A 27319-nucleotide genomic window follows, 5' to 3' on the forward strand; every position below is an offset into this window, starting at 1 on the left:
GGAATGAAAATTTTTATACAATGTTGCTAATTGTATCATATGAATAAAAGCTATGATTTTTAAATAAATTACTAACATTATTCACTTCTTGCATTATTCTGGATAAACATATTTTAGTGACCTACAAAGCCCTACGTAATCTCTGCTCCATTCCCTTCCCACCCATCTGAGATCATCTCTTATCATGATCCCACTCATTCACTCTATGCCAGCCATATGGCCTCCTTGCTGTTCCTCCAGCACACCCACCTTTTCCTGCCTCACTGCCTTCACCTGTGCTGCTCCCACTGCCTGGTTGCTCTTCTCCCACATGTATCCATGGCTTGTTCCCTCTCTTCACCAAAGGCTCTATGGAAATGTCACTTTCACAGGGAGTCCTTCCCTGACTATCCCATTACAAATACCACTGTTGCCCTGCCCAGTGCTGCCGGCCCTGTGCCTGTCCCCGGTTTGAGGCTTGGTCCCCTTTTCCCGTGTCCATCATTCTGTGCAGAAGCACCGCCAGAATGTCTCATTAACTACTCTACGAGGTTGCTGACATTGGTTTGGCCGCCTGGGGATGCAAGGCCCTGGACACTGAGGAGAACAAGAAGCCAGGCCTGATGCACGTGTAGGAGCTGTACTCAGCCTCCAAGCCACTGAAGAGCGTCCGCATCACTGGCTGCCTGCACATGACTGTGGAGACAGTCGTCCTCACTGAGACCCTCCTTGTCCTGGGTGCTGAAGTGCAGTGGTCCAGCTGCAACATCTTCTCCACCCAGGACCATGCAGCAGCTGCCATTGCCAAGGCTGGGATTCCAGTGAACGCCTGGAAGGGAGAAACGGAGGAGAAGTACCTTTGGTGCACCAAGCAGACACTGTACTTCAAGGACAAGCTCCTCAACATGATTCTGGACATCACTGGGGGCCTCACCAACCTCACTCACACTAAGTACCCACAGCTCTTGTCGGGCATCAGAGACATCTCCGAGGAGACCATGACTGAGGTCCACAACCTATACAAGATGATGGCCAATGGGATCCTGAAGGTGTCCACCATCAACGTTAATGATTCTGTCACCAAGAGCAAGTTTGACAACCTCTATGGCTGCCACCAGTCCCTCCCCAGATGGCATCAAGTAGGCCATAGGTGTGATGATTGCCAGCAAGGTAGCTGTGGTAGCGGTCTATGGTGATGTGGGCAAGGGCTGTGCCCAGGCCCTGCAGGGATTCGGGGCTCACGTCATTATCACCGAGATCGACCCCATCAATGCACTGCAGGCTGCCATGCAGCGCTATGAGGGGACCACCATGGACAAGGCCTGTCAGGAGGGCAACATCTTTGTCACCACCACAGGCTGTGTTGACATCATCCTTGGCTAGCTGCCCAACAGGCACTTTGAACAGATGAAGGATGATGCCATCGTGTGTAACACTGGACACTTTGACGTGAAAATCGATGTCAGGTGGCTCAACAAGAATGCTATGAAGAAGGTGAACATCAACTCCAGATGGACTAGTACTGGCTAAAGAATGGGCGTGGCACCATCCTGCTGGCTGAGTGTCAGCTGGTCTACCTGGGTTGTGCTATGGACCAACCCAGCTTTGTGATGAGTAACTCCTTCACCAACCATGTGATGGTGCAGATTGAGCTGTGGACCCACTCAGATAAGTACCCCATTGAGGTTCACTTCCTGCCCAGGAAGCTGGATGAGGCAGTGGCTGAAGCCCATCTGGGCAAGGTGAACATGAAACTGACCAAGCAGACTGAGAAGCAGGCCCAGTACCTGGGCATGTCCTGTGATAGTCTCTTCAAGCTGGATCACTACCACTACTGAGAGCCAGGCCTGTCCTTCACCTTCCAGCTGTCGTCCTTGCCCAGGCCCCGCCTCTCCTCCCTAAGAGCAAATGGCACCAACTTTGTGATTGGCTTGCCAGTATTCCCCATCGACTCCCTGGGGCTGGTCACTCATCCCTCATGCTTTTCCAAGTGTGGCAAAGGGAATTGAGAGGACCCTCCTCAAGCCCTGATCATGATGGAGGTACAAGGGAGGCAACCACAGGGAACCATAAGCTCAGTGGTCTTGGAACTGCTCACTAAGTCAGTCCTTCCTTAGCCTGGAAGTTGGTAGTGGAGTCACAAAACCCATGTATTAATACTTTACCATCTAGGCCTTCACCTGGTCTGTGGACTTATACCCCTGTGCTTGGTTTACAGGCTCAGTGGTTCCTCAGCCCATGACAGATGAGAAGGAGCTATATTGAAGGGCAAGGAGGAACTGTTTGAATTTTCCTGAGAGCCTGGCTTAGTGATGGGCCTTCTCTTAAACCTCATAACAATGAGGTTGGTACTTTTAGTCCTTGTTTTACAGGGGTTAGAATAGACTGTTAAGGCACAACTGAGAAAAGACAGAGAAGTAACAGCCAGAGGTTGAGAGGGGCCATTAAAACGTAAAAGCATAGATCTGCCACCACTTTGTAACAAGATGGTTTCTATCACAACCCCAGAAAATAATTTGGCTTATGTTTATATAATGTTTAAAGAAAGCAACAAGGTGGGTACATAAAAATCTTAGTGCCAAAACACACACACACACACACACACACAATCACTGTTGGCCAGGCACAGTGGCTCACACCTGTAATCCCAGCACTTTGGGAGGCCTAGGCAGGAGAATCACTTCAGCCAGGAGTTCAAGACCAGCCTGAATGACAAGGTGAAACCCCATCTCTACAAAAAATACAAAAATTAGTTGGGGATAGTGGTGCATGTGTATAGTCCCAGCTACTAGAGAGGCTGAGGTGGGACGGTCACTTGAGCCTGGGAGATTGAAGCTGCAATGAGCCATGAACATGCCACTGTACTCCAGCTTGGGCAACAGAGCAAGACCCTGTCTCAAAAACAACAATAACAACAACAACAACAAAACCCACAAACAAACAAAAACCACTGTCCTTGCTAGTCCTTTATCCTGTTTTATTTTTCTTCTAACACTTCTAGCACTTAACAACACCTGACATAGTCTACGTGTATTTGCTTATTGTATGTCTCCTCGACTAGAATGTAAGTCAGCTCCGTGTTGAGCAGGAATTTTATATTGTGAATCTAAAACAATGCCTGGCATAGAACATGCATTCAGTAAGTACTTGTTAAATGAATGGAAGATGAACCAGATTTTGGACTACTGCTTATGCTGGATGGCATGTAAATTGAAGCTGTGATCAAATACAGGCCATGCCTCTAAACAGCTGATGACCGCTTAGATTCTAGGTGCCATAGATACTGCTGCCTGGTTTGTTACAATACTTTTTTTTTTTTTTTTTTGCTTTTACTCTTTACTATTATTCATTACTGGATGGTGGGTGAGGGGAAAAATACAGAATACATGCCCTAGTCCAGTGCTGTCCATTAGAGCTTTCTTTAATAATGGAAGTAGCCTGTATCTGCTGGTCAATAAGGTAACCAATAGTTACCAGGGGCTGTTGAGCACTTGAAATATGGATATTTTGACTGAACTGAATTTTTAATTTTACAACTAGCTGTGGTTACTAGTTACTGTATTTAGCAGCCATACTCAACAATCCTATAGGTCTATCTTAATTACTTTTATAGGAATGAAGAGTATTATAATTATTTCTCAATTATATATATTTGGTTTTAATTTCTACAGAGGAAGAGGACAACAAAGTTTTGTGAACTATTATTCATATAAGTTTGTAGTTGTTTAAGGAAAAGACTTCACAGAGAACAGGGCAGAGAGTAACACAATATCTGATTTCCAAAAAATTCAATCAAACTTTGATATGGATTTGGTCAAATCATTGTTTAATGGCCTCCTTAACATTATTATTAAACTGATTTATATAATTTGCTTTTTACTAATCAAATACATTGTTTTAAATCTTAATTATTTTTTATTATAAAAGTAATACACATTCAGTGTAACAAGTTCAAATAATCTCTCAGGTGGATAAAATACGGACATCCACCACACTGTACCTACCAAGATGCCCATACCCCAAAGATGATTGCTGTTAAACATTTAGAGTGCCTTTCCTGACTTTTTTGTCTAAGCACCTTTAAAAACCAATACTTTTGGTTTTCAGTGATAGCTCTGAATCCCCTTTAGGCATAGAGTGTGGGAAATTATATTTCTGCAGCAAACTCAGGCTCTGCAACATCAAGTGTGGATTCACTGGAAATTATTTGAAGTAACACTTAGAGATCATAGTAGCCAAAAAATGTTGGGAAATTAAAAAGGGGTTTTTAAAAATTAATTATCGTTATTATTATTTTTTTCAAAGAGACAGGGTCTTCACTCCATCACCCAGGATGGAGTTCAGTGGCGGAATTACAGCTCACTGAAGCCTCAAACTCCTGGGTGCAACCAATCCTCCTGCCTCAGCCTCCCAAGTAGCTTGGACTACAGGCATGCACCAACTGTGCCAGGCTAATTTTTTAATATTTTGTAGGGATAGGGTCTTGCTATGTTGCCCAGGCTGATCTCAAACTCCTGACCTCAAGCAATCCACGCACCTCAGCCTCCCATAGTGCTGGGATTACAGGAGTGAGCTCCCACACCCAGCTGAAAAAGGTTTTTGTGGAGGGAGTATGATCAGGAGAAAAATCATGGAATGTGCTCGAAAGAGATCTAAAGGGCCATGGAAGTCAAAAGGTTGAACTCCATAGAACAAAACATGAAGTATGGAAAGATTCTTTAAAAAACACTTGACTTTGGAACAAAATCCAAATTGTTCCCATGATTTCATTCTTTGACATTATGTTCATTTTGGTTATCTTAGTCTTTTCTCAGAATTCCTCTTTAACAGAGAATTATCTAAAAGCCCCTGGCTAAGTTAATGCTTATGACTATGGTCACAAATGGATGGCTTGGATTTTATTTGTTTTGCAGTGTTTGTAAATTTTTTTATGTATACTGTTGTTGTCAACTAACATAATCCGTATGTATATGGGTTATATATATATATATATATATTCCCCAAATTTAAAAACCAGTTTGGAGATTTTTCCCACACACAGAAAATCAGAAAATTGGCAATACTCTGCCCCATTACCACATGGCAACAATGTAGACAGGCCATGAGTTCTCCACATGGCCCTAATCCCCACCACTCTTAAACAAATCTAATCAGTTTTATGTATATTATATATGTATATTGCTGTGCTTCTCCTTCCTGCCTGACCCTGCAAGACCCCTGTCTCAGTCTCTCTCAACATGTCTGAAGGACTCGAGGGCAGGTGTCAAAGGTGAAGGCCCTCATCTGGATTTAATGTCCTGGACCTTGAAACAGCAGCTAGTGTTTTGAGCTCTAAGCTAACACTTTGGACTTTCTTTTTTTTTTCGAGATGGAGTCTTGCTCTGTCGCCCAGGCTGGAGTGCAGTGGCACCATCTCGGCTCACTGCAAGCTCCACCTCTCGGGTTCACGCCATTCTCCTGCCTCAGCCTCCTGAGTAGCTGGGACTACAGGCGCCCTCCACCACGCCTGGCTAATTTTTTGTATTTTTAGCAGAGATGGGGTTTCACCGTGTTAGCCAGGATGGTCTCGATCTCCTGACCTCGTGATCCGTCCGCCTTGGCCTCCCAAAGTGCTGGGATTACAGGCATGAACCACCGCGCCTGGCCACATTTTGGACTTTCAGTCATGTTTTCTTTCCCCAATGAAATAGAAAAGTTTTATTTCAAAGAGGAAAAGGGTGCAACAGCTGCAACATACATAAAACCTATTTAGTTTTACTTGGGAGTGGGAATCAGGAAACCTGGGTTCTGTTTTTGACTTAGTTTGGATAAAGAAGGGTAGTTAAGCTGTCCTTATGTCTCTTACCAAATGGAGAAAATACTGCTGTAGTTCACAGCAATTTGGGGAGTTTTAGATTCTATGGAAAATGGAAATCCTATTTGTAACTTAGATTTTTTCTTTGGAGAAGGAGTCTCGCTCTGTTGCCCAGGCTGGAGTGCAGTGGCACGATCTCGGCTCACTGCAACCTCCACCTTCCAGGTTCAAGCGATTCACTGACTCAGCCTCCTCAGTAGCTGGGATTACAGGCACGCGCCACCATGCCCAGCTAATGTTTGTATTTTTAGTAGAGACCAGGTTTTGCCATTTTGGCCAGGCTGGTCTCAAACTCCTGACCTCAAGTGATCTGCCCACCTTGGCCTCCCAAAGTGCTGGGATTACAGGCGTGAGCTACCGCTCCCGGTCTAATTTTTAAATTTTTGTTTTGTAGAGATGAGGGTCTCCCTTTGTTGCTCAAGCTGGTCTCTGTCTCTTGGGATCAAGGGATCCTCCTGCCTCAGCCTCCCAAAGTGCTGGGATTACAGGCCTGGGCCACTGCAACCTGGCCTTCATCACAAATTCATTGAACACACTTTCTTTATTTTATCCTTTTTTATTTTTAAAAATTTTTATTTCAGTAGTTTTGGAGGAACAGGTTGCATGGAAAAGTTCTTTAGTGGTCATTTCTGAGATTTTGGTGCACCCATCACCCGAGCAGTGTACACTGTACCATGTGGCACACACTTTCACTTAAAGCATTTACTAGACCTCGCTAGCCAGATTTCCCATCCCTGAGACACCTGGAATGTTCCTGAGGACTTAGTGACTACTGCCTAAAGCTCCACCCAAGTCAATTTTATGTTTACAGGCAACCGGAGCATCCAATCACCTTTCTCTAAGAGAGTACAAAGATCAGCTCGCGAGAAAGTTCAGACGTCTCATTTCGTTTCTATTACACGGGGCCTTCGCCCAACCAGACGGAGTCTTGCTCTGCTGCCCAGGCTGGAGTGCAGTAGCGCGATCTCGGCTCATTGCAACCTTCGCTCCCCGGGTTTAAGCAATTCTCCTGCCTCAGCCACTGGAGTAGCTAGGATTACAGGCGCACGCCACCACGCCAAGCTAATTTTTTGTATTCTTAATAGAGACGGGGGTTTCACCATGTTGGCCAGGCTGGTCTCGAACTCCTGACCTCATCATTTGCCCGCCTCGGCCTCCCAAAGCGCTGGGATTACAGGCGTGAGCCACCGTGCCCAGCCTCGCCGGGGCCTTTTAAGTGACGTTAAAAATTGTACATAAAATATGTTTTAGGATAATACTTGTTTTTCTTTGACCAAAGGCTTGGCTTCAGAGAATGTTTAGCCAGAAATAGAGGGGCGTTAAATCCCCTTTTTTCTAATTTCCAATCTGAGGAGGAAAATAACGTAGTAAAGGGACGCAAGAGCAACCTTGCTTCTTCCACAACAAGGCCCAGGCGCCGCCTTGCAACCCGGAAATGCAGGGTGCAGTGCGGGGGGTAAGGGACCGGCCAACTATGTTGACCCGACTCAGAGAAACCCCGCCCTTGCCGCCACCGCCCACCCATAACGTCCTCCTCGACCCTCCCTCGACCATCCCTCGCCCCGCGGCCCTCACCGAAAAGGGGAGGGCGGTGGAAGAGAGAGGAGTCAAGGGAGCGCACGCGAAGCCCCGCCCCTGCCGTGACGTCTGGAGACGCGACGCGTCGCCTCGCAATGCAAATCGGGAAAAGGGGGTGAGCTGGGCTGGCTTCCGTCCTGGTAGCCAAGGCTAATTCTCCCTCGAGTTCTTGGGAGATGGGCATTTGGCGAGAAGGCTGGCGTTAGTGAAGCGCGCCCGGCGTCACGGTGAGTGCGGGTCTTGGGCCCTAGCACCTGTTCTCTGGGAAGTCGTCCGCTGTGAACGATGAACGCCTTTCCTTCCACCAGCTGCTGGTTACCCCGGAGACAAGCTCTGTCCGCGGAGAGGAGTGGGACAACTCCTAAAGGTAGAATCAGCTTGTGGAGAGGAAAGGCCCAACCTTGAGTCTTTTACGCCATCTACCTAGGATTGCCAAGCGAGTTTCGTGTGTTTTTTTGGTTTTAAAAGGTGGCTTTGACCAATCTTCCGTTCTCTTGGACACTTATACCCGACTTTGACCTCTTTCCTCTTGCTTCCGGTTTTTTTTTTTTTCTGCAATCTGCCTACAATCCCAGGCCTTACTGTAGCTCCTAAAACTGTTTCCCAGTTTCTCTTCTTCCCCAGTCACACTTGATTTTAGTGAAGTTTGAGTTTAAAGACCCTATAAGCTTGTCAGAGTTAAAACTATGACTTCCTCAAATAGAAGATTTTTTTTTTTTCCCCTAAAAAGTGCCTTCCATCCTAGAGTTGTGGGACAAGTTAATTTCACCGCCACTCCACCTTGGAAATTATCAGAATCCTTACTAGCAGTGATGTGCATTATAAAGCTGCAGACCACCCTCCTGGGTTTATTTCTTGCCTCCAGTTCATTCTGTGACCTTGAACAAGTCACTTAATCACTAACAAAAAATTTACCTGACACGGAGGTGTTGCAGAGCCTAAGGAATTTAGTATTTGTTAAGAGACCTGAGGGTTTCAGATGAAAGGGATTTATATCTAAAGGATGTTACCTTTTCTGAATCTGCAAAGCATCGTTAGTTTTGTAAATATCTTGCTGCAGCCATTAAAAATGCCAAGTGGTATTTGTTAAGGAAGTATTCCTGTTTTAGGCTTGCTCTGCTGCGGCTTTGCTATGTAAGCAGATTTTTGCATTTCAGCCGATTCTGTTTAAGATTCGTTGGTGAATGTCATTCATGATGGATTTGGGTAGTTTCTCCTTACAGCATATCCCTGGACTATTAAGCATATCTGGAAGGTGATATCGGTTGTGTTATGTCTTTATCATGTTGATATGGCTGCTTTGAAATATGTATTCCTTTTCTTGTGACACATTGGATGCATCTTTAATATTAGTGAAGACCCTGTAGTAGTTTAAAAAAAAAATACACCTCTCATTAATGAAATTTTGCACATAGACATCTGTTTTTTTAAGAAAACAATGTATAAGAAAAACTAACAAAAATGTTTTAAAGGTGCCTTTTTTAGCATTTCGTTTTTTAATATATTTACTTGGACTTTAATCTTTATGGGCATTTGTTTATTAATGTGGACGTGGCTGGGCGCAGTGGCTCACATCTGTAATCCTAGCACTTTGGGAGGCGGAGGTGGGCGGATCACTGAGGTCAGGAGTTCGAGATCAGCCTGGCCAACATGGCGAAACCCGGTCTCTACTAAAAATACAAAATTAGCTGGGCGTGGTGGTGCACGCCTGTAGTCCCAGCTACTCTGGAGGCTGAGGCAGGAGAATCGCTTGAACCTGGAAAGCGAAGGTTGCAGTGAGCCGAGATTGCGTCATTGCACTCCAGCCTGGGTGACAAGAGCAAAACTCCGTCTCAAAAAATAAAAAATAAAAAGCGTGGACATAATGGAAAATAATCAAAATGACTTTTGGGTAAGACAGTTGGAAAATAAAGCCAGTACATTAAATTTTTTTCATAAGTCTAGCACTATATTACGAACTTTTCTCCATGAAAATGCACTCATATTTATGGAAGTGAAAGGAAAAAAATGTCTTCAGGTATGTGTTGCTAATAAAATTAGATATAATTAAGGAAACATTTAAAAAATACCTTGTTGTTGTCCCAGTTACCTATTGCTGCATAACAAATCACTCCAAAACATAGTGACTTAAAACTGTAATTTAGTATCTCTCCTGTTTCTCTGGCCTGCCTGGACTTAGCTAAGTGGTTTTCACCTAGAGTTTAATGCGTTTGTATTCAGATAAGCAGCTGAGTTTGGAGTCAACCGAGAGCTCAGCTGGTCTGGACATCCAAAATGGCTAATTCACGTGAAGGCGTTTGATGTTGGCTAGGAGTTCAGCTGGAAATGTCAACTGGAATGCCCACACATAGCCTCTTCACGTGACTTGAACAGTATGGCGGCTAGGTTCCGAGAATACATGTTTGAGGAGTCAGGAAGTAGAAGCTGCCAGTCTCCCAAAAAGCCTGAGCCCAGAAATTCGCACAACATTACTTCCAACATACTCTGTTGGTTAGAGCAAAGACCAGCGTACAACCCTCACCTTTGAAAGGAAAAATGTCAAAGAATTTGTGGCCGTGCTTTGCCTACTATAATTTTGATGACAAAGTTGTATTGGACTCTTGTTTGCATTTATATAGCAGATGAAGAATCAGGTACACTTCCAATTTCCAGTTTCTTTCTTTCTTCTTCTTCTTTTTTTTTTTTTGAGATGGAGTCTTGCTCTGTTGTCAGCCTGGAGTGCAGTGTACGATCTCAGCTCACTGCAACCTCTGCCTCCTGGGTTCACGCCATTCTCCTGCCTCAGCCTCCCGAGTAGCATGTCACCAAGCCCAGCTAATTTTTGTATTTTTAGTAGAGATGGGGTTTCACCATGTTGGCCAGGATGATCTTGATCTCTTGACCTGTGATCCACCTGCCTCAACCTCCGAAAGTGCTGGAATTACAGGCGTGAGCCACCGCGCCTGACCCATTTCCAATTTCTTTAACCGTAATACTTTATGTTGTAATGGCATATTACAGTTTTCAAAGCATGTTTTTGTATATTTTTTCACTTGATACCTATGGTCACCCTATAGAAGCAGACAAATAGTTCCTATTTCATTTTGCAGATGAAAGTAAACTGAAGAGTGGTGGTGGTATTGGGAGTGATTTACGGAATTTGTTCAAAGTCATATGATTAATAAATGGAAAGTAAGGCCTGCAACAGTTCCATAATATTAAATTTATTAGTACTGAATGATGAAATATTATATTAAACTTATTTGGAATTCTACATTTATAGCCGTACTAATTTTTTTTTTTTTTTTTTTTTTGAGACGGAGTCTTGCTCTGTCTTCTAGGCTGGAGTGCAGTGGTGAGTTCTCGGCTCACTGAAATGTCCGCCTCCTGGGTTTAAGCAATTCTGCTTCAGCCTCCCGAGTAGCTGGGACTATAGGCACCTGCCACCATGCCCGGCTAATTTTTGTATTTTAGTAGAGATGGGGTTTTGCCATGTTGGCCAGGCTGGTCTTGAACTCCTGACCTCAGGTGATCTGCCCGCCTCAGCCTCCCAAAGTGCTGGGATTATAGCCGTGAGCCACCATACCTGGCCCTTTTTTTTTTTAAACTGAGACAAGGTCTTGCTCTGTCACCCAGGCTGGAGTGCAGTGGCATGACCTTGGCTCACTGTAACCTCTGCTTCCTGGGCTCAAGTGATCCTCCTGCCTCAGCCTCCCAAGTAGCTAGGACTGCAGGCACACGCCAGCACACCTGACTAATACCATACTAATTCAAGTAAAACAGTTCTCATGTATAGTGAATAAGGGTTAACTAAGCCTTGTCTCTTTTGACTAACACATTACAATTTAGTTTTTTGTTTGTTTGTTTTTGAGAGGGAGTCTTGCTCTGTCACCTAGGCTGGATGCAGTGGCATGATCTCGGCTCACTGCACCCTCCGTCTGATGGGTTCAAGCAATTCTCCTGCCTCAGCCTCCCAAGTAGCTGGGATCACAGGCATATGCCGCCACGCCCAGCTAATTTTTTGTGTTTTAGTAGAGATGGGGTTTCACTGTGTTGCCCAGGCTGGTCACGAACTCCTGAGCTCAGGCAATCCACCTGCCTCGGCCTCCCAAAGTGCTGGGATTACAGGCGTTAGCTACCACGCCGGGCCTACAATTTAGTTTTTAATAATGCAGCAGTCTTCCTCTTATCTGCAGGGGATATGTTTCAAGACCTCCAATGAATGCCTGAAACCACAGATAGTACTGAACCCTATATATACTATGTTTTCCCTATATATACATTTTTATGATAAAGTTTAACTTATAAATTAGTAACAAGAGATTAACAACAATAACTAATAATAAAATAGAATAATTACAACAATATAGTGTAATAAAAGTTATGCCCTGTGGCCATAACTTGTGCAACTTGAGGTGTGACAGCAAAACTAGCACAAATTTCTTTTTCCTTCATAATTTTGCAGATAAAAGATCTTACCATAGATCTTAGCAACCTCAGCATGAGGTTTTTGGTTTTTTTTCTTATTAGGTTGAGAACTTTCACCTTTTTGCTTAAAGGAAGCAGTTTACAACTTCTTTTTGACATACGTGAATCTCTGCTTTTACACTTTGAAGCCATGATTAAGTAAAATGAGGGTTACTTGAACACAAGCACTGTAATACTGCTATAGTCAGTCTGGTAACTGAGACGGCCACTTAGTGATTAACAGGCAGGTAGCATCTACAGTGTGGATACACTGGACAAAGGGATGATTCATGTCACAGACTGGGCGAAGTGAGGTGGTGCACAATTTAAAACTTATGAATTGTTTATTTCTGGAATTTTTTATTTAATATTCTTGGACTGTGGTTGACTGCAAGTAGCTGAAACCATGGAAAGCGAAACCATGGATAAGGGGGGACTACTACACTAAATTCTGAAACATACCAATAATGGTGTAAACCCACATGTCTTTTTAATAGAGTAAAATGAAATAATTACACATTATAATACCAATTTCAGAACAAGAGTTATGGGCATAAGCATCCTGGAGGTGTTTTTTTTTTTTTTTTTGGAGGTGTTATTTTAATTTCTCAATTACAGAGTTTTAAAAATGAAAATGATTTTTTAAAATTTTGGTAGGTTGAATGATTTAAGATGCTGATTTCAGCTGGAAACAAATTGTTGCCTTCATATTATTTTGTTGCTCCTAGCAGCATGTTTATATTCATTCTTATATTGATGGTTCCCAGTCTTGACTGGTGTTAGAATTCATTTGGGAAGCTTTTTAAAAATACCTATGTGGGCAAGGCGAGGTTGGCTCATGCCTGTAATCCCAGCACTTTGGGAGACCTAGGCAGGAGGATCACTTGAGCCCAAGAGTTTGAGACTATCCTGGACAACATAGTGAGACTCTGTATTTTTTTAAATATATAAATAAGAAAATAAATACCTGTGTGTATGTCTCATCCATAGAGATTCTGATTTAATTGTTTAGGAGTGGGATCTGAGCATCAATATTTTTTTAAAGTTCTCTAGGTAACTGATTCTAACATACAGCTGGGATTGAGAACTATGTTTTTGGTGCATGTTAAGTACGATCTGGCTCCCTACTTAATGATTTTGCATCTGTTAAAAAATTAATGAGGTAGAAGACAAAAGAAATGGATTAAAGTTATAAATGTAGATAGACATCTATTCTGGAAAACAGTTACCCTTTTGTTAGTTTCTGGGAATGGTCCTTAATAAAACAAACAGACATTGGCCTGGTTTGCTAAGTGCCTATATCACAGCATTAAGCCACACTTTACTTTGTTACCGTTATGTACTTAACTTTCATTTTAAGAGGCAGAAACTTTATTAAGAGTTGTATTTTTTTAGTATCCCCTGTATCACAACACTGCACCTTGTGTATAGTAGGTATCTATTGTTTACCTAATTGAAGCCAGTTTAGACAGTCACTCTTTAGAACTAGGGCTAGTTCAGCTCCTTGGGAGGCTGAGGCAAGAGAATCGCTTGAACCGGGGAGGTGGAGGTTTTGGTGAGCCGAGATTGCGCCACTGCTCTCCAGCCTGGACAGCAGAGTGAGACGTCATCTCAAAAAAATAAAGAACTAGGGCTAGTTTATTCTTTTCTTTTCTTTTTTTCTCATGGCATTCTAAGACTCCCCCAATTAGACAGGGTCTCCCTCTATTGCTCAGGCTGGAGTGCAATGGTGTAATCATGGTTCATTGCAAGCTCAACCTCCCAGGCTCAAGGAAGGCCTCAGCCTTCCGAGAAGCTGGGACCACAGGCGCATGCCACCATGCCCTGCTAATTTTTTATTTTTTTATTTTTTTTTTGTAGTGATAAGGTCTCACTGTGTTGCCCAGCAGTTCACCAAATCCTAGATAACATAATTTTGGTGTCAATACTTAATTATCTTCCAAAACAATAGGGATTATCAAAGTCAACATTGATGCCTTATTAGTTGATAAACAGATTTAATATCTGTCTGCTCTCACATATAACTGATTTCTAGTTAATATTTACATCTTAAGATGTTCCTTTGGCATACACTCAACATTTTCCACATCGAATTACCTACTTTGCTGTAAACCAGTGGTTCTTGTTGGGGGTAATTTTGCCTTCCAGGACACATTCGGCAATGACTGTAGACAGTTTTGGTTGTTACAACTGGAAGGGAAGGATGATAGTAAACTGGCGTCTAGTAGAGGTTAGGGATGCTGCTAAACATCCTGCAGTGCACATTGCACAGAGCAGCCTCTCACAACAAATGTTTATCTGGTCCAAAATGTGAGTGATGGCAAGGTTGAGAAACGCTGCTGTAAACTGATCAGTTTTAAACTGCAGTATTACTTTTTTTGTTAATAGCACTACTGCTCTTCATATTTTGCAGGGTACAGTGTGTGTGCCTCTGTGTGTGTGTGTGTGTGTGTGTGTAAGCAAGAGAAAATACTGTTTCGATCAACCAGTTACCAAAGCATGTTTCTACCATTTTGTGTTCTTTTCTGCAGTGACCTTGTAGTTACTCTTTTCCATAGTATCATTCCCTTGTTCTCATCTCCTTTCAATCTTACTTACATATCCCTAATTTGACCATCTTGAGATAATATTTTTCCCATCAGGAACTGGCTTTTATTGCCTGCTGAATCAAATATAAAGAATTCTGGATGGCTTCCAAAGTCTTCCATAATGTGACTCCATCTCCTACATAATATAATTTAGTTATTCTTGTTAGTCAACATTTTTTTTTCCTTTTAGTTAAATTCAGCTGACAGGGAGAAACATTTATTAAAGTGGTGACTATGTGAGGACTATTGAGATAGGTGCCAGGGATCCAAAGACATGTCAACATTTTCCCTCTATCCGATTGATTATTTCCCAATAACTTCTGTAATATTCCTTATTATTACTATTTTTTCCGAGATGGAGTTTCACTCTTGTTGCCCAGGCTGGAGTGCAGTGGTGCGATCTTGGCTCACTGCAACCTCTGCCCCCTGGGTTCAAGAGATTCTCCTGCCTCAGCCTCCTGAGTAGGTGGAATTACAGGCGTCCACCACCATGCCCAGCTAATTTGGTATTTTTAGTAGAGACGGGGTTTCTCCATATTGGTCAGGCTGGTCTTGAACTTCTGACCTCAGGTGATCTGCCTGCCTCAGCCTCCCAAAGTGCTGGGATTACAGGTGTCAGCCACCATGCCCAGCCAGATGTCCTCCTTTCTTACCCTGTTCTTAGCTAAATTCTGTCCTCAAGGCCAGGTTCTCTCTCTCATCACATCATCATGAGCACTGCGTGTGTATGAGGATTTTAAAGCCTTATAGTAATTGTCTGTTGATCCCATTACTGTATTTAAGGAATGATATAGATCACAAGCATTGTAGGATTCACATGAAGAAACAAATTCCAAGAACTGGGACCATAAAGGATGGAAGAGATGGAACTTAAGTTTGTTTCTTCTTGTAGCTGAGACCTCAGATGTGCACCACTACGCCCAGCTAATTTTTAAATTTTTTGTAAAATTTTTTGTCTTTACTTTGTTGCCCACTTTGTTGGCTACCTACCATTTCTCCCTATCTCTGCCCTTTAGGCAACAACAATACTCAACATAAATATCTGTTCTTGAACTCCTGGGCTCAAGCAGTCCTCCCACCTCAGTCTCCCAGAGTGTTGGGATTACAGCTGTGAGGCACCACGCCCAGTCAGTGCACTGCTTTTTGCATGGAGAAAGTCTTGCTGCTACTTTAAAAAGGTCAGTGTGCTTAATTGATCTACATTCTGTCACAAACTTCTTATTTTATCACAAACTGATAACAAACAGTTCCCCAATCAGCACTGGTCATTGGACCATACTTGGAGTTACATTGCTGTAGTGTGAGACTTTCATACTTTTTTTAAAATTGTCACCTGTATTAAGAAATACATTTTACATTTTCATCCAGTGTTATATCATATACACATGTACATAACTGAAACAATTTTACGAAGCAGTACCTAACCTTACTATGTGTGACATAGTCTGATGTTTGCTATTTTTTTAATGCTGATCATGACCTTCTAATGGATTTTAAAAACACTGCCCTCAAGCATTTAGCACAGTGCTAGAGACATAGTAGTTGCTCAGAAAATACCATACATTTTAGCAGTGATTAAATCTTGAGAGGGTTGAGCCTTCTTAATACTTGAGGATTACTTTAAAATGTTATTTCATTGGCCGGGCACGATGGCTCACGCCTGTAATCCCACCACTTTGGGAGGCCGAGGCGGGCGGATCACCTGAGGTCAGGAGTTCGAGACCAGCCTGGCCAACATGGAGAAACCCTGTCTCTACTAAAATACAAAAATTAGTGGGGCATGGTGGCGGGGCGCCTGTAATCTCAGTTACTTGGGAGGCTGAGGCTGCTTGAATCTGGGAAGTGGAGGTTGCAGTGAGCCAAGTTCATGCCACTGCACTCCAGCTTGGGCGACAGAGTGAGACTCCGTCTCCAAAAAAAAAAAAAGTTATTTAATCAATACTTAGTTGTTTGTGGCACCTTATACAGAACGAGTGTAGAGTGGATTATGAGATTTAAGACAGCGAGAAGATACTTATGTTGAGTATTGTTGCTGCCTAAGGGCAGAAATAGAGAGAGATGGTGGGTGACCAACAAAGACAACTTTTGCTTTCCTTTCAATATTGCCAAAGACCTTAGGAGTGGCTGGTGTGAATCCCTGCTTAAAATCAGGACCAGTTTGAATGACTGCAAACCTCATTTTTCACTTTTTACCTTTTAGTCTTCACTTTGTGGTTCCAGTCATCAAATCCCTACTCTTTGTCTTAGAAAGGAGCAGAAGGATGTCAGAGAAAGAACATTTTCTCTTTATTTATTTATTTTTTTTTGAGATGGAGTCTCTGTTGCCCAGGCTGCAGTGCAGTGGCGCGATCTCAGCTCACTGCAAGCTCCACCTCCCAGGTTCGTGCCATTCTCCTGCCTCAGCCTCCTGAGTAGCTGGGACTACAGGTGCCCGCCACCGTGCCCGGCTAATTTTTTGTCTTTTTAGTAGAGACGGGGTTTCACCGTGTTAGCCAGGATGGTCTTGATCTCCTGACCTCGTGATCCGCCCGCCTTGGCCTCCCAAAGTGTTGGGATTACAGGCGTGAGCCACTGTGCACGGCTGCATTTTCTCTTTGTTAACTCATTTTCAACACTTTTGGGTTTCACTTTTGGAGCACTGCTGTTTGACTAAGGCTGAAGTTCTTTGTCAGGTTTACACATCTTAAGAATTTTTATTTTTTGTTGTTAGAAGCATGTTAATTTTTCTTGCATATACTTAGTTATTTTTTTTTCACTTGCAATCCTTCTTGAAGCATAAGGTTTTTTGTTTTGTTTTGTTTTGTTTTGTTTTGTTTTAAAAGACAGAGTCTTGCTCTGTCGCCCAGACTCCGCTCACTGCAATCTTCACCTCCTGGGTTCAAGCGATTTTTCTGCCTCAGCCTCCTGAATAGCTGGGATTACAGGTGTGCGCCACCACGTCCGGCTAATTTTTGTATTTTTAGTAGAGATGAGGTTTCACCATGTTGGCCAGGCTGGTCTCAAACTCCCGACCTCAAGCAGTCCACCTGCCTCAGCCTCCCGAAGTGCTAGGATTACAGGCCTGAGCCACCACGCCCGGCTGCATTTTCTCTTTGTTAACTCATTTTCAACACTTTTGGATTTCACTTTTGGAGCACTGCTGTTTGACTAAGGCTGAAGTTCTTTATCTTTGTCAGGTTTACACGTCTTAAGAATTTTTATTTTTTGTTGTTAGAAGCACGTTAATTTTTCTTACATATACTTAGTTATTTTTTTTTTCCACTTGCAATCCTTTTTGAAGCATAAGTTTTGCTTTGTTTTGTTTTGTTTTAAAAGACAGGGTCTTGCTGTGTCGCCCAGGTTGAAGTTGTAGTGCTGCAATCTCCACTCACTGCAACCTCCACCTCCTGGGTTCAAGTGATTTTTCTGCCTCAGCCTCCTGAATAGCTGGAATTACAGGCATGTGCCACCACCACGCCTGGCTAATTTTTGTATTTTTAATAGAGATGAGGTTTCACCATGTTGGCCAGGCTGGTCTCAAACTCCCAACCTCAAGGAATCCACCTGCCTCGGCCTCCCAAAGTGCTAGGATTACAGGTGTGAGCCACTGCACCCGGCCACATAAGATAATTTCAATGTGTTGTATCTTATGGTTTGTCCTAGATCTAAACAAATAAATTCTGCAAATTATTTGACTTCTGTAGTTAATGAACACTTCTGTATAAGTATCAATGGGTTTGTTGTTGCTGCTGCTGTTTTATTTTTTTTAAACGATTGTAGCCAAAATAAGGCAATTGAGTTCATTCAGTCATTCTAGTCAATATATTTTATGTCAGTCTATTTTCAGATTTCTTTAATGGCAAAATGCAGCAGAATGACTTATCAAAAATGTAACATGTTAAATTCACATAGATTGAGGTTGGATACACAGTCAGCCTTCTGTATCTGTGAATTCAACCAATGGCCGATTGGGAATATTTTAAAAAAATAATTGGATCTGTACTGAACCATGTACAGAGTTTTTTCTTGTCTTTATTCCCTAACCAATACAATGTAACAACTGTTTATATAACATTTACATTGTATTAGGTATTATAAGTAATCTTGAGATGATTTAAAGTAAGGTTATATGCAAATCTTACACCATTTTATATCAGGGATTTGAACATCTGCAGATTTTTGGTACTTGTGGGAAAAGTCCTGGAACCACTCTCCTACAGATACTGAGGAATTACTATATATGTTTTGCTTTCTCACTTGATGAGCGGAAAATACCCTTTACCTTCTGTTTGACTTCTGCAGAAACGTGTGTGATTGTAGAGGCTCAAATAGCAATTAAAACAATACTGAAAGTATTTTTAACACTAGGCATCCTTAAGTGACGGTATAACTTACATGATTTTGTTAATAAAAATAGAAACAACTATGGTTTTTAATGGACTTTAGACATTATCAGAGAAGATTGTTACTTATTTGAACTGTTTCCAAAAATCAAATGGGGACAGAAAAGGAAGCTTTTAAAAAGTACAGTCTTTCTCCTAGAAACCCTTCCTAAAATCTTTGGTGACATCGTAATCTTATCCCTGTACTTTCCCTCCTTGTGTCTAATCATTTGCCAAGTCCTGTCATTCTACCTTTGCAGCATCTCTTATTATATCTGCTTCCTCTATTCCATCTCTACTGCCCTAGTTCTGACCTTTGTCATCTTTCCCTAGGATCATTATAATAGATAACTAGTGTTTTCCCTATCTAGTTTGTCACTTACCGCCTAACTTTATACTCTTCTTAGTTTTAATCACTTACCTCCCTACTTCAGAACCCTGCTACCTTTAGAAAACAAAGTAAATGCTTTAGTAACATTCAAGGCCTTCCCCGTTCCCTGTTCCAAGTCTGTTTTTTTTTCCACTGCCATGTAGATCTTTGTTCATTCTATGTAGTGGCTAATTCCTAAAGATGTTCTTTACTTTCTTTTCTTCATCCTGCTTTTCATCTCTTTGAAAAACCTTCCCCCACCAAGACTCAAATCAAATGTTGTCTCTTTGATGATGACTTCCAAGATCCTTCTAGTCATACTTAATCTTCTCTCTTAATTTTTCTTATACTGTAATATTTGTAACTCTATAGTTTGATATCATACTATGCTGTATTACTACTGCTTAAAACTTTCTCTTCCACATTAGTTTTTTAAACTTTGTTGGTTTTTTTGTTTTGTTTTTGAGACGGAATCTCACTTTGTTGCCCAGGCTGGAGTGCAGTGGTGCGATCTCGGCTCACTGCAACCTCACCTCCCGGGTTCAAGTGAGTCTCCTACTTCAGCCTCCTGAGTAGCTGGGATTACAGGTGCCTGACATCATGCCCAGCTAATTTTTTTTGTTTGTTTTTTGTTTTTTGAGACAGTCTTGTTCTGTCACCCAGGCTGGAGTGCAGGGTGTGATCTCAGCTCACTGCAACCTCCACCCTCTGGGTTCAAGCAATTCTCCTGCCTTAGCCTCCCAAGTAGCTGGGATTATAGGCATGCACTACCATGCCTGGCTAATTTTTGTATTTTTAGTAGAGATAGGGTTTCACCATGTTGACCAGGCTGGACTTGAACTCATGACCTCAAGTGATCTGTCCACTTTGGCCTCCCAAAGTGCTGGGATTACAGGTGTGAGCCACCATGCCCAGCCCCAATGTTCCAAGTCTTTTTTTTTTAAATCAATATGTTTTTTTAAATGTGTATTTTTTGTTACTTGCTTGTTTAACCCATAACTTCCTAACTTTTACATCTCTCTGGATACTCTCTTCATATTTATGTATGTTGCATTGCTTTACTCACGTTTGCGTTGTTATGCTCATATTATTTCTTTCCTTCCTTAAAACTTTAAGTACATTTCATATATTCTTTTATATGTTATAAAGCATGATACTAAAATGATCACCTGTGCACATACTACCCAATTTGAGAACTAGAACCTTGCTGTACCCCTGAAGCTCCTTATATGTATCTCCCTGATTACAACTCTCCCTCTCCCAAGAAATATAATGTTGCGTTTAACATTTTCTGCTTTCTTTATAGTTTTACCTCATTTATATCTTTAAGCAATATATTGTTCAATTCAATTTGATTTTTAAACTTTATATAGAGTATCGTATTACACATATTCTTGGTTTTTCATTCAACATTGCGGGGGATGGGCAGAAGATGATGAGGTGAGAAGGCGGGCAGGGTATGTTTTCTGGTTAAACTATTTATTCTTGGAGAATCAGAGACCATATCTTATATACCCCTTTAATAACCTCTGTTTAACACGAGGCCTACTGTTGCAAGCTAAGTCTCCTGATGATTTGCACTGACATTGAAACATTGCTGTTGTCTCTATAAGTATGAGGAAACCCAGGGGAACCCTGTCATACTCTTTCCTCAATGGATGCTTTTAGCAAGTTTGATGAATTGTTGATGAATTAGATACCTCGCTAGAAGGACATATTTGATATCAGTTGATCCATTTGGGAGTGATAGTGTGGTCTAGAGACCTTTTCTCCCCTATCACTACAGCTTTAGACACAGGACCCAGGGTGGATGGTAAAGTGTAGAAAATGTTTGTATATTAGATCGTTGTTTCTAAATGCATAGATCTGAAAGTACAAATTAAAGTGTTTGGTTCAACATGTGTTTATAGATACCTGGAGCAAGTATAGATAGAAAAAAAGTGAAAATGATAAAAATGAAATACTCAGAACAAAATGGTTTGGTGACTAAGACAGTGGACTAATGTGCACAGGGTTAGAAGGGATGAGTACCAATAAATCACAAAGTATTAATATTTAATATAAAATGTTACTAGAATTAAAGCAAATTGGGGTGCTTTTGGAATTTTCATAGGTGAGCAGCAGCCTTCCCATCCCCTGCTCCAAGTTGTACTTTACTTAGCTTTTTAGGATTAGATGTTCATTGATGTCCATTTGTTTAATGATAGTGAACTGGTAGAATGAAGATTATTAAGAGATTGGAAAGAAGTAGCCAGACGTGGTGGCTTACGCCTGTAATCCCAGCACTTTGGGAGGCCAAGGCAGGTGGATCACTTAAGGCCAGGAGTTTGAGACCAGCCTGGCCAATATGACGAAACCCCGTATCTACTGAAAACACAAAAACTAGCTGGGGGCATGGTGGCGAACGCCTGGAATTCCAGCTACTTGGAGGCTTAGGTAGGAGGATTGCTTGAGCTCGGGAGGTGAAGGTTACAGTAAGCCGAGATTGTGCCATTGCACTACAGCCAGGGTGACAGGGTGAGACCCTATCTCAAATAAATAAATAAATAAGAGGAAGAAGTCACTTAAAAAATAAATGGATATCAATGAGAAAAGAGAAATATTTCTAGATAAAAATTCCATCTACTTATGATCTAAACATTAATGCTATTTTAACAAAAGAAACATGTAAACGCTTTGATTATTCTTACTGCTAGTTCCTTTGACAGGTAAGATTCCCAACTCTTAAGGCAAAATGATACAAAAAGTAATTCATTTGGTTAATGAAAATTTGAAAAAAATTATTACATTCTTCACTCATATTCTGCATATCTTAAACTCCTGAAATAGATATTCTAAACAATTTAAAATTAACCCTGTTAGCAAAGGATATGGTTTAGGAATTTTTTTTTTTAAACTGCTCACTTGTTTTATTGTGAATGAGGAAAATTAGTATAATTATTTGTATTTGTTTCAGGAAAGAAGCACTTGTAAGGAAATATAGCATCCATTGTGAAAGTGGAAAAGTAAAGATAATTCATCATGCCTGCTGTGGCTTCAGTTCCTAAAGAACTCTACCTCAGTTCTTCACTAAAAGACCTTAATAAGAAGACAGAAGTTAAACCAGAGAAAATAAGCACTAAGAGGTATGATGTATCCTTCGCTAGTTTGATTGAATCAAATATTAATTTTTAGTTCGTTTCCATATTAAAGTTAGATGAATGTTAAAGTTTATTTGAAAAATAACACCATCACACGAATAAAGTAGGACCTCCTTAGAGAAAGTTGTAATGTAATCGTAGCACAATACATATATATTCTGCTCATATGCATATTATCTACTCTCCAGACAGATCATACAGATATGATCTCTAGGTCATAAAGTTTAAGAGGCAAAGATTATGAGGCTTCTAAAAAAAAATTCAGCCAGAAGTCATTGTCTTTTCATAAAACGATACAAAAATAATTCCTTTTTGGCCGGGTGCGGTGGCTCACGCTTGTAATCCCAGCACTTTGGGAGGCCAAGGTGGGCGGATCACCTAAGGTCAGGAGTTTGAGACAAGCCTGGCTAACATGGTGAAACCCCATTTCTACTAAAAATACAAAAAATTAGCCGGGCGTGGTGGCGCACATCTGTAATCCCAGCTACTCGGGAGGCTGAGGCAAGAGAATTGCTTGAACCCGGGAGGCGGAGGTTTCGGTGAGCCGAGATTGTGCGATTGCACTGCAGCTTGGGCAATAAGAGCGAAACTCTGTCTCAATAATAATAATAATAATAATAATAATAATAATAATAATTTTTTTTTTCCACTTTGGGAGGCCAAGGTGGGCGGATCACCTGAGGTCAGGAGTTCGATACCAGCCTCGGCAACATGGTGAAACCCCGTCTCTACTAAAAATACAAAAATTAACTTGGCATGGTGGCATAGGCCTATAATCCCAGCTAGTGGGGGGCTGAGGGATCCCTGAGTCCAGGAAGTGGAGGTTGCAGTGAGTCAAGATTGCACCGTTGCACTCCAGCCTGGGTGACAGAGTGAGACTCTGCCTCAAAATAAAATTAAAAAGATCTTTTGAAGGGCAGAAAGTAAGAGAGGGATTGGGCTATTTATCTTGCGAAGTTGGGAAGTTGATGAGGTGACAGAAAACAACTCTAACTCCTGTTGAATGATTTTCAGATGGGAAACAATGGGAAAGATAAAGCCACCTTTAGATAAGACAAGGTCAGGCCTAAGACCGTTTATTCCTTTCTAGTAATGTCTGGTTTACCTCTAGCACTACCCTTATCCCAGAGGAAGTGGTATATGTAAGTTGGTTGTATCCAAACTTGCATCTAACTTTGTATCAGTTCTGAAGTAGTGGAACCTAAATAATGAAATTTGCTTTATCAAGATCAGTGGTCCCCAGCCTTTTTGGCACCAGGGACTGGTTTTGTGGAAGACAGTTTTTCAATGGACCAGGGTTAGGGAGGATAGTTTTGGGATGAGTCAAGTGCACTACATTTATTGTGCACTTTATTTCTATTATTATTACTCTGTAATGTATAATGAAATTATTATATAACTCACCATAATGTAGAACCAGTGGTATCCCTGAGCTTGTTTTCCTGCAACTGGACCATCACATCTGGGGGTGATGGTCGACAGTGACAGATCATCAGGCCTTAGATTCTCATAAAGAATGCGCAACCTTGGCTAGGCGCGGTGGCTCATGCCTGTAATCCGAGCACTTTGGGAGGCTGAGATGGGAGGATCACTTGAGGTCAGGAGTTCAAGACCAGCCTGACTAACATGGTGAAACCTCGTCTCTACTAAAACTAAAAAATTAGCCAGGCATGGTGGTACACTCCTGTAATCCCAGCTACTTGGGAGGCTGAGGCAGGAGAATCACTTGAATCCGGGAGGCAGAGGTTGCAGTGAGCCAAGATAGCCCATTGCACTCCAGCCTGGGCAAGAAGAGCTAGACCCCATCTCAAAAAAAAAAAAAAGGAGTGCACAACCTAGATCCCTCACATGTGCAGTTCACAATAGGGTTCGTGCTCCTATGGGAATCTAATGCCACCATGATCTGACAGGAGGTGGAGCTCAGGTGGTAATGCGAGCAATGGGGAGTGACTGTAAATACAGATGACACTTTGCTGGCTAACCCACCACTCATCGTCTGCTGTGCGTCCTGGTTCATAACAGGCCGTGAACCAGTACCAATCTGTGGCCCTGGGGTTGGGGATCCCTGATAAAGATTATCTGTGGACTTTGTATATGACCTGTATTTTTTCCCAGATGTCAATTGCTTTAATTATTATTTTTTCTCTAATTTTAAGTTATGTGCACAGTGCCCTGAAGATCTTTAAGACAGCAGAAGAATGCAGATTAGATCGTGATGAGGAAAGGGCCTATGTACTATATATGAAATACGTGACTGTTTATAATCTTATCAAAAAAAGACCTGATTTCAAGCAACAGCAGGTACCTTTTATTTTTGCATTGTTATTTCCTAAGTTATTTTGCATAATGGAGCTATTGATTTTTTTCTAAAAATTTTAAGTAATAATGAAATGTAGCTCAAATTATATGCAGCATGATCTCATGTAGATAGAAAAAGGGAACTAAAGATACAGTGTTATTATTTACAAATGTGTATAATGTGTGAACTCGTACACATTCTTGGATTTGCCATGGATTAGTACAAGTTTATAGCAACATACAGATTCATAATTTTTTTCTGAGGTAATTAATAATTGCCAGGTCAAGTAGAAGGATTGAGTTTGCTCATTAAGTAAGAAAACATGACTGTGTTTTTTTTTATAGTACTTTTATTGCGCTTTCTTAAGAGTCAAGGTTTAGTCTCTTGTTTTTATGTGACAGCTTTTTATATATGACTGACATTGTACCCATATTACAAATGTCAGTTTGCAAAATTGATACTGATCACTCCCTAAATCTTTTTTTTTTTTTTTTTTTTTTTTGAGACGGAGTTTCACTCTTGTTGTCCAGGCTGGAGTGCAGTGGCGTGATATCGGCTCACTGCAACCTGTCTCCTGGGTTCAAGCAATTCTCCTGCCTCAGCCTCCCGAGTAACTGGGATTACAGGCATGTGCCACCAAGCCTGGCTAATTTTGTATTTTTGGTAGAGATGGGGTTTCTCCATGTTGGTCAGGCTGGTCTCAAACTCCCAGCCTCAGTTGATCTGCCTGCCTCGGCCTCCCAAAGTGCTGGGATTAGAGGCATAAGCCTCTGCATCCAGCCCACTCACCAAATCTTTAAACTTCTTTTTGCTTTTAATCCTTTGAACAGGTGCTTGTCTTCCATTTGATTGAAGCCATGGATAGGGAGGGCAGGGGCAATATAAATGAATAGAAAAAATTGATGACTAGGATAAGTGTTGATAGAGAAAATAGATGTATTTCAATTGTATTAGAAACTAGCAAAAGAATGCTGGGCACGGTGGTTCACACCTGTAATCCCAGCACTTTTAGGAGGCCAAGGTGGGTGGATCACCTGAGGTCAGGAGTTCGAGACCAGCCTGGCCAACATGGTGAAACCCCATCTGTACTAAAAGTAAAAAAAACTAGCTGGGCGTAGTGGCGGGCGCCTGTAATCCAAGCTGCTTGGGAGGCTGAGACAGGAGAACCACTTGAATCTGGGAGGCAGAGGTTGCAGTGAGCCGAGATTGCACCACTGCACTCCAGCTCCAGCCCAGGTGGGCGATAGACTCCATCTCAAAAAACAAACAAAAACAAACTAGCAAAAAAAGAATATGAAGAATGTAGAGGTTCATTAAACAAAAGTGAAGAATGTTGTGTTGCTGGGTTTACCTTTACTTAGAAACAATCTTATTACCTGTCAGTAGTAACAAAATACTGCCTATAGAATTTTCACCTGGTAGAGAAGCCACCCTCAATTAATAATGAGATTTTATTTTGTTCTCTGGTGGTAGAATTGGCTTCTATTGTTTAAATTGACTTACTGAAATAACAAAATTTCGTTTGTTCTTTGATGATCTTTTTAAATTTTTTTAATTTATTTACTTTGAGAGAGTCTCGCCCTGTCACCCAGGCTGGAGTGCGGTGGCACATTCTCAGCTCACTGCAACCTCCACCTTTCGGGTTCAAGCGATTCTCCTGCCTCAGCCTCCTGAGTAGGTGGGATTACAGGCTCTTGCCACCATGCCTAGCTAATTTTTTTGTATCTTTAGTAGAGACGGAGTTTCACCATGTTGGCCCAGCTGGTATCGAACTCCTGACCTTGTGATCCGCCCCTCTCGTTCTCCCAAAGTGCTGGGATTACAGGCGTGATCCTGTGAGCCACTGTGCCTGGCCACTTATTTTTATTTTTAGAGGAGTGTGACTTTTGGTTGTTAAGGAATGACTTTAATATTTTACTTAATGGTGATAAATCATTGCTGGTATTTCTTCTCATTAGCAAAGTTATTCTAATAATAGTTACTAGGTTTTTTTTGTTTTTTGTTTTTTTAAAGACGGAGTCTCACTCTGTCGCCCAGACTGGAGTGCGGTAGCTCAATCTCGGCTCACTGCAACCTCTGCCTCCCAGGTTCAAGCGGTTCTCCTGCCTCAGCCTCCCGAGTAGCTGGGACTACAGGTGTGCACCACCACGTCCAGCTAATTTTTGTGTTTTTAGTAGAGATGGGCTTTCACCATATTGGCCAGGCTGGTCTTGAACTCCTGACCTCATGATCCGCCTGCCTCTGCCTTCCAAAGTGCTGGGATTCCAGGCTTGAGCCATCATGCCTGGCCAATTACTAGGTTTTAAATCTGTCTTTGAAGAGGGGGCCCCTTGCATTTGGAGGTTCATTCATCTGTCCACAATGGATGAATTAGTCCTGCCCTGGGAAAAATACTGTTTAATATTTTTGGCCATACTTATCTGCAGGTAAGAGACAGAGGCCTTCCTAAATTCAAACAAGTTTTTGCACGCTCTGTGAAATATGTTAAAGTGGAATTGCTTAAAACGCAGTGTAAGTGGTGCTCACTAAAGTAAATATTTTTGAAAGTCTTAAAATTTGGATAACTTTGGTAGTTTTGTTGTTTGCTGTTTTGTTTGTGTGGTAGGTTTTTTTTTTTTTTTTTTTTTTTAAGGTGACAGTCTTGTTCTGTCACCCAGGCTGGAGCGCGATGGCATGATTTTGGCTCACTGCAACCTCCACCTCC

At 41.8% G+C, this 27319-nt stretch overlaps 1 protein-coding gene and 1 pseudogene across 3 annotated transcripts in view, besides 3 other annotated features; both read left to right on the top strand.

Moving 5' to 3' along the window:
• Positions 413-1825, top strand: AHCYP7 (adenosylhomocysteinase pseudogene 7; annotated as a pseudogene).
• Positions 6352-7348: an enhancer, noted in NCBI's record as "NANOG-H3K27ac-H3K4me1 hESC enhancer chr15:50715425-50716421 (GRCh37/hg19 assembly coordinates)". NCBI's record gives its function as "activates a minimal SCP1, AML or CMV promoter by ChIP-STARR-seq in primed H9 embryonic stem cells {active_cell/tissue: H9 hESC(primed)}" and the evidence as "EXISTENCE:reporter gene assay evidence [ECO:0000049][PMID:30033119]".
• Positions 7227-7276: a silencer, noted in NCBI's record as "silent region_6428". NCBI's record gives its function as "represses an Ori minimal core promoter by ATAC-STARR-seq in GM12878 lymphoblastoid cells {active_cell/tissue: GM12878}" and the evidence as "EXISTENCE:reporter gene assay evidence [ECO:0000049][PMID:35858748]".
• Positions 7387-7776: an enhancer, noted in NCBI's record as "active region_9393". NCBI's record gives its function as "activates an Ori minimal core promoter by ATAC-STARR-seq in GM12878 lymphoblastoid cells {active_cell/tissue: GM12878}" and the evidence as "EXISTENCE:reporter gene assay evidence [ECO:0000049][PMID:35858748]".
• The window catches only part of USP8 (ubiquitin specific peptidase 8), a 90017-nt gene continuing 70226 nt past the window's right edge, over positions 7529-27319 (top strand). The window contains exons 1-3 of one of the 3 annotated variants that reach the window (NM_001128610.3): positions 7529-7778; positions 22133-22301; positions 24473-24617. In NM_001128610.3, the coding sequence (NP_001122082.1) occupies positions 22198-22301; positions 24473-24617 (249 nt within the window). In that variant the 5' untranslated portion in view covers positions 7529-7778; positions 22133-22197. The remainder of the gene's footprint in view (positions 7779-22132; positions 22302-24472; positions 24618-27319) is intronic. The other 2 variants (NM_005154.5, NM_001283049.2) reach the window with 2 other exon arrangements.

The sequence above is a fragment of the Homo sapiens genome, chromosome 15, assembly GCF_000001405.40.
Source record: "Homo sapiens chromosome 15, GRCh38.p14 Primary Assembly".
NCBI classification, from domain to species: Eukaryota; Metazoa; Chordata; class Mammalia; order Primates; family Hominidae; genus Homo; species Homo sapiens.